A 7,136-nucleotide genomic window follows, 5' to 3' on the forward strand; every position below is an offset into this window, starting at 1 on the left:
TCACTTTGTGCCAGGGAAGGGAAATTTTACTGAAAATTTCTTTTAAGTTCTAGCCAGAAAAAAAGCAATCTTAAGAATAAGGAAATAGACCCATCATTTTAAAACCCAGAAAAGAACCTTTCAACATAGCATTCCCCAGGTACCAAGCCTCCCTGATTAGTAGGAGGTTGCTTTGATTGTGACTGGTCAGGAACATACCTGGCCCTCCTCACCAGTGTGTAAGTTCCTGGAGAGCTGTGACAAAATCGCCCACATCCACTCCTCCTGTGCCAACTTACCTATAGTATGCACTTCACAAATGGGCTGGTGGATTGCAGGGGGCACTCAGTGGATAAGCCAGAAAAAACAAAGAGGGGTTTATATGTAGCTTTGCCCTCTCAGCTATGTCCCCAGAACTCAACTTCCTGGCTGGATGTCCTCATGTTCAAAATGTGGACATCAAGACCTACCTCTCAGAGTTATTATAAAGATAAACAAAGTCACACATGGGAAATCACCTAACAGAGATGGACGTGGTTGACAAGCAGGAAAGATTCGTTTGCCCTCCTCCCTCCTCCTTCCTTTCCTTCCTAATGAGGATAGCCTTGTCTTCATTGCTGCCATCGAATCTCTGATGTCAGTGGTCACCCAACAGGGATCAGTGGTCACAGGTGGGCATGTGTGTTAAGACTGCAAAGTGTTCCCTGGTAACGTTTACTCATAAAGCAGTCAGCTGGCCTGAGCTGCAGTAGGGATGGGGAATGCTGCTCCAGCATGCATCTCTGTCCCTAGGTCTCATCCGTTCCCTGAGGCCTTTGTCCGAATGGAGACCTGCATTGGGCTCACCACAGGCTCATACTCAGGCTCAGGATCAGGGACGTCTTGAGTTTTCCAGCATCCTTAACAATTTAGCAGCACACATTCTCAAAGGTTTGATACCTTTCATATAATATTTTTAGTACTGCTAGGAAGACACAGATGAATTAAATATGGGTACTTCTCTTCTGGGAACTTATTATCTTGAGTACAAGGAATTAAGAGTAGGAGGTGAGAAGAGGCACTCCCTTTGGCCACCCCCATGGTCTGGTGACTCTTGGAATCATGTTCACAGATGTCCGCCTCTTGGATGACAGCCTCCAGCCTTCCTGCTTTCTCACCCTCTCTCTTCTCAAAGCACCAGTGATTTGTCCTTTTCAGAATCGCGAACCCATAGATATCCCCTCTCTCTATCGGCCCTTTCTGCTTTTCCGTCCTTTTTGATCCAGCTTAATTTCTGTGCCCCATCTCTTCAACCATTTTCTTGCTGGTCTCTTCAGCACCCTTCCCATTTTTATTCCATTACACTCACCAGACAAAACTTCAGGCTGGGTTGTATCGCTAGTCTGCTTCCTCTGTATCTCCACTGGGGCTGCTAGAGGAGGTTGGGAAATGAGTTTACTCAGCCTCACAGGTGGTTGCTACCATTGGCACAGGACCACCACCCCCCACTGGGCTCTCACACTGCCCACTAGTCCTACAAAGCTTTCCTAGTCAGCTGCCCACAGTGATGTAGAAGGAAAATAAATCTTGGGGCCTCCAAATCACTAAGCTAAAGGGAAAAGTCAAGCTGGGAACTGCTTAGGGCAAACCTGCCTCCCATTCTATTCAAAGTCACCCCTCTGCTCACTGTGATAAATGCATATCTGATTGCCTCCTTTGGAAAGGCTAATCAGACACTCAGAAGAATGCAATTGTTTGTCTCTCACCTACCTGTGACCTGGAAGCTCCCTCCCTGCTTCAAGTTGTTCTGCCTTTCTGGAGGGAACCAGTGTACATCTTACATATATTCACTGATGTCTCATGTCTCCCTAAAATGTGTAAAACCAAGCTGTGCTCAGACCACCCTGAGCACATGTGGTCAGGACCTCCTGATGCTCTGTCATGGGTGGGTGTCCTCAACCGTGGCAAAATAAACTTTCTAAATTAACTGAGACCTGTCTCAGATTTCCAAGGTTCACATGTTGGTAACCACGAAGGGATTCTGAGTGGAGATGCCTCTTACCTTTGACAAATCTCCTACTGGTGTTTGGTACCAGCATGAGCTAACTTTATGGCTCAAACCAACAGGACAATTTGCTGAGGTCTGAAAGCATCTCCTTCAGAGAATTCCTGATCTCCCAAAATTTGGTCAAAATCAAAAGTTTATTTTGCTGTACAACTCCCTGTTTTTTTCTTTGTTTGTTTTGAGTTTTACTTGCTTCCAACAAGGAAGGCAAGATTTCCTGCTTCCCTGATGATGGAAGGCAGGTAACTCCTTTAAGGAGTTTGAGCTCACTCCCCGCAGGTAAGAGAGGAGACCACCCCTCATATTGTCTTATGCCCAATTTCTGCCTCCAAAGAAAGAAGTAATAACTAAAAGGCAGAAATGAAATCCACAAGCAGACAGCCCGGTGACACACCCTGGGCCTGGTAAAGATCGACCCCTGATCTAATCGGTTATTTGCATAAGAAAAGCACTGTGAAGATCCCTGTCATGTTCTGTTCCATTCTAACTACAGGTGCATGCAGCCCCCAGTCACATACCCCCTGCTTGCTCAATCTATCACGACTCTCTCATGTGGACCGCCTTAGAGTTGTGAGCCCTTAAAAGGGACAGGAATTGCACACTCGGGGAGCTCGGTTGTTGGAGACGTGAGTCTTGCCGCAGCTCCAGGCCCAATAAAGCCCTTCCTTCTTTAATTTGGTGTCTGAGGGATTTTGTCTGCGGCTTGTCCTGCTACACAGGTAAGACGAGTTCAAGTTTTATTTCTTGCTTCTAGAACGGTAGTGAGCGGTCTTCAGCCTGAGACCCAACCCTAGGTAAGTAGCTGAATTGGGGTTTTGTCTTGGCTAAAGTTTAACAACCAGCTGGTCTTAATTTCTCCTTACCATTAGAGCACTCAGTAATCATATAAGTTGTGTGATCATTCATTTTGCTTAACTGTTTGTTTCTGTTTTTATTGCTGTTTCAGTCTTTTTCCCATTGGGTTTGACCTACTCTATCTGACTTGATCAAATCCAAAGGAAATTTCCAAATTATGGGGAATGAGGCCTCTGAAGTGGCTAAATTCCCACCCTCCCACACACACAAACGTGGTATGGTGGGGGAAAAAACGGCCAGCAAAAGAAAAAAAAAAAAGGAAAAGATGTTTCATTTTGACCACCAAACGGGCTTTATTTACATAACAAGGCCACCTTTTTGCTAGCCAGGCCATACTGAAAGAGCAATGGCTGTTGCCCCATGCTGTGGGTTCCATAGCTAAGGTTCTGCCTTTTTTCCTACCACGACAGCCTGGGTTTGGTTCCTAAATCAAGCCTTTTCTGGTTTGATACTTGGTAATGCTGAAATAGCAGCAATTTGTCCTAGCTGAAATATCGTAATAAGATTTTAAAAGATTTATTTTAAAGGACCTCAATAGTTAAAAGTCAGCTTAATTAAAAGCTAACATCCAAGATGTGTGCATGTGTATGTATGCGTCTTTGTATTTAAATAGCCCTCATGTTTTTTTTTTCTTTCCTAGGAACTTGCCTTTTTTTGAGCAAAAGTTTTTTTCTTCTCTGTTGACTGGATTCTGTTTTCTTCATTTACTTCTGCTGTCTCTCCTTTCTCTTGCACCGTCTGCTGCATGAGAGCCCTAAAATAGTTTATAATAGCCTGGGGTTCCTTAAAGAAAATGGAGAAGGTGCCAGGCTCCCTTTTAGGGAGAAACTTCTATTTTTCCTTATGGAATCCCTAGAGTGTAAACAGACAAGTTCATTTCAGCTCTTAAACTGCTTGCGTTTGTGTTGTGTTACCTGATTTTTTTGACTATTATATTTTTGACTAGCTATTGCAACAGAAGCTACTCTTGGGTTTTCAAGGAAGATTGTAGTTTAGACATGTAGAAATGTCTTTTAAAAAAAAAACAAACTTTTTTTTAAGTGCACTGTAAAAGCATCATATGGTCTAGCCTCCTAATAATTTTCCCTTTTTGGAGACCAGGATTCAGGGTGGGCTCTGCCCAGAGCTCAGAGATCCAGTTAAAAGAGAGGTAGTCTCGGCCGGGCGTAGAGGCCCAGCCTGTAATCCCAGCACTTTGGGAGGCCGAGGCGGGCGGATCACGAGGTCAGGAGATCGAGACCATCCTGGCCAACATGGTGAAACCCCGTCTCTACTAAAAATACAAAAATTAGCTGGGTGTGGTGGCAGGTGCCTGTAGTCCCAGCCACTCGGGAGGCTGAGGAAAGAGGAGAATCGTTTGAACCCGGGAGGTGGAGCTTGCAGTGAGACGAGATGGCGCCACTGCACTCCAGCCTGGCGACAGTGAGACTCCGTCTCAAAAAAAAAAAAGATAGGTAGACTCGATGTTGTCGTACCCGAGCAAGTTAGAGCAACGCCACACTTTGAGACGAATTTAAGAGTCCTTTATCAGCCGGCGACCAAGAGACGGCTAACGCTCGAAATTCTCTCGGCCCCTTGGAAGGGGCTTGATTTTCCTTTATGCTTTGGTTTAGGAAGGGGAGGGGAGCTCAGTTGCAACAATTCTACAGGAGTAAAAACATGCAAAGAAATTAAAAAGACAAGTGGTTACAGGGAAACAAACAGTTCCAGGTGCAGGGGCTCTAAATCTATCATAAGATGTTAGGTATGGGGGCTCTGCCGGACACAAACTCAAGGCTTTATGCTGTTATCTCTTGAGCGAAATCCTGGGAACTTCGTACATTGCTTGCTTCAGTACCTTATCAGTTAATTGGACTCTTTGATATGTTGGGAGTCAGCGTACACAAGTTAACTCCTTGAGGAAGGGGGTGGGTAAGGAGTCCTTGATGTCTGGTAAATGAAGGAGCGAAATCGAGTTCCTCTGGCTTTCTCAGCTAAGGGAGAGCTTATTCATGTGGAAACAAGGCTAGGTGATTAAGGGAGAAAGGGAGAGTCTGAAAACAAGGTTAGGTATTACAATGTCAATAAAATTGGTCTCCTTATACAGTACTATGGTAGATTTCTTTCCATCTTTAATCTCCCTCTAGCACCACCAGACTTTTTCTCTCTGTACCTTGAGATGTAAATTTTGCTATCTGAATTTTCGTCTAAGAGTTGTTTCCTTTAATATGCAAATTTAGGGTTATTTAGCTGACAACTGCCAAAGTAGTGAAACAAGTTATCAAGAACTTGAACGTCTAAGGTAGGAAAAAAAAAAGTCTTTATGAATCTATAAGATGTATTTCTATTGGCATGCCTAATACGTCTATGTATTTACGTGTTGTGTACACAGTTTTTCACTACTGAAAATATATAGAGGAGTTCTAATTAATTGACTTAAGACAATAAAAGCGCTTGAATCAAATACCTTATCAGGAAAAAGGAAAAGACAAGTCAAATGCTTGTTCAAGTTTATATAACTTAAGTAAAATCTTTAATAAATAAGCTAGCTTTAACATTATTTGAAATGTCTTAAGAATTGCCAGCAGGTTCTGGGTTACAGAACTAGTGGGGGTGCAGTGGGGTGAGGGTTGGTGGGGTGGGGGGTGGTACGGGGGCTTCGTTTTTTCTTGCTGCCCCCTTCTGGGTTGGGGAAGTGGCAGGACCTTGGCAGCACCCCGAGCCGGCATGGCGCTAATAATGGAGGGATGCCAGACCCAAGTGGCTAAGGCCCGGCTGCAGAGCCAAGTTGGCATTTCCAGACTGGGGCTCGGGCCGCACCCTCTCCAGGACCCTCCCCTTGTACCGAGCAGATTGTCGCGGGCAGTTTGGGCCAGCTGTCCTGGCGTGGAATTTCCCAAATTCAACAAATCCTCCAAGAAATCAATCCATCCATTCATCCATCCATCCATCCATCCATCCATCCATCCATCCATCCGTGGCAGATTATGAAGCATGGATCATTACTTTTGGGATGTGGATATATTCAGTTAACAAGGAGCAGCTTTCAAGAGCTGGATTTTATGCTTTAGGTGAAGGTGATAAAGTAAAGTGCTTTCACTGTGGAGGGGGGCTAACTGATTGGAAGCCCAGCGAAGACCCTTGGGAACAACATGATAAATGGCATCCAGGGTGTAAATATCTGTTAGAACAGAAGACACGAAAATATATAAACAATATTCATTTATCCCATTCACTTGAGGAGTGTCTGGTAAGAACTGCTGAAAAAACGCCATCACTAACTAGAAAAATTGATACCATCTTCCATAATCCTATGGTACAAGAAGCTATATGAATGGGGTTCAGTTTCAAAGACATTAAGAAAATAATGGAGGAAAAAATTCAGACATCTGGGAGCAACTGTAAATCACTTGAGGTTCTGATTGCAGATCCAGTGAAGGCTCAGAAAGACAGTACACAAGACGAATCAAGTCAGACTTCATTGCAGAAAGAGATTAGTACTGAAGAGCAGCTAAGACACCTGCAAGAGGAGAAGCTTTGCAAAATCTGTATGGATAGAAATATTGCTGTCGTTTTTATTCCTTGTGGACATCCAGTCACTCGTAAACAATGTGCTGAAGTGGTTGACAAATGTCTCAAGTGGTACGCAGTCATTACTTTCAAGCAAAAAAATTTTATGTCTTAATCTAACGCTATAGTAGGCATATTATGTTCGTATTATCCTGATTGAATGTGTGATGTGAACTGACTTTAAGTAATCAGGATTGAATTCCATTAGCATTTGCTACCAAGTAGGAAAAAAAAATGTAAATGGCAGTGTTTTAGTTGGCAATATAATCTTTGAATTTCTGGATTTTTCAGTTATTAGCTGTCTTATTTATCCAATTTTTTTTACTGTTATTTAATTGAAACCCTAGACTAAGAAGCATCATATTATAACTGATCACAATGTGTATTCATAGTATATTGACTTAATTTCTAAGTGTAAGTGAATTAATCATCTGAATTTTTTATTTTCAGATAGGCTTAACAAATAGAACATTCTGTATATAAATGTGTAGATTAGAGTTAATCTTTCCAATCACATAATTCGTTTTATGTGAAAAAGGAATGAACTGTTCCATGCTGGTGGAAAGATAGAGATTATTTTTAGAGGTTTGTCGTTGTGTTTTGGGATTCTGTTTTCTTTTAAAATTGTAAATATGTACTTGTGTGAATGATTTTTTAAAATGATTTTACCATTTTTGGAAGGGTATTTAATGATAGAATATCATCGAGC

General features: G+C 42.7%; 1 pseudogene, besides 2 other annotated features; it reads left to right on the plus strand.

Annotated features, from left to right (window-relative positions):
* Positions 2,201-2,763: an enhancer, noted in NCBI's record as "OCT4-NANOG hESC enhancer chr2:113607358-113607920 (GRCh37/hg19 assembly coordinates)". NCBI's record gives its function as "activates a minimal SCP1, AML or CMV promoter by ChIP-STARR-seq in naive H9 embryonic stem cells {active_cell/tissue: H9 hESC(naive)}" and the evidence as "EXISTENCE:reporter gene assay evidence [ECO:0000049][PMID:30033119]".
* Positions 3,618-4,211: an enhancer, noted in NCBI's record as "H3K27ac-H3K4me1 hESC enhancer chr2:113608775-113609368 (GRCh37/hg19 assembly coordinates)". NCBI's record gives its function as "activates a minimal SCP1, AML or CMV promoter by ChIP-STARR-seq in primed H9 embryonic stem cells {active_cell/tissue: H9 hESC(primed)}" and the evidence as "EXISTENCE:reporter gene assay evidence [ECO:0000049][PMID:30033119]".
* Positions 5,746-6,734, plus strand: XIAPP3 (X-linked inhibitor of apoptosis pseudogene 3; annotated as a pseudogene).

Source organism: Homo sapiens, chromosome 2 (assembly GCF_000001405.40).
Source record: "Homo sapiens chromosome 2, GRCh38.p14 Primary Assembly".
In the NCBI taxonomy this organism is placed as follows: Eukaryota; Metazoa; Chordata; class Mammalia; order Primates; family Hominidae; genus Homo; species Homo sapiens.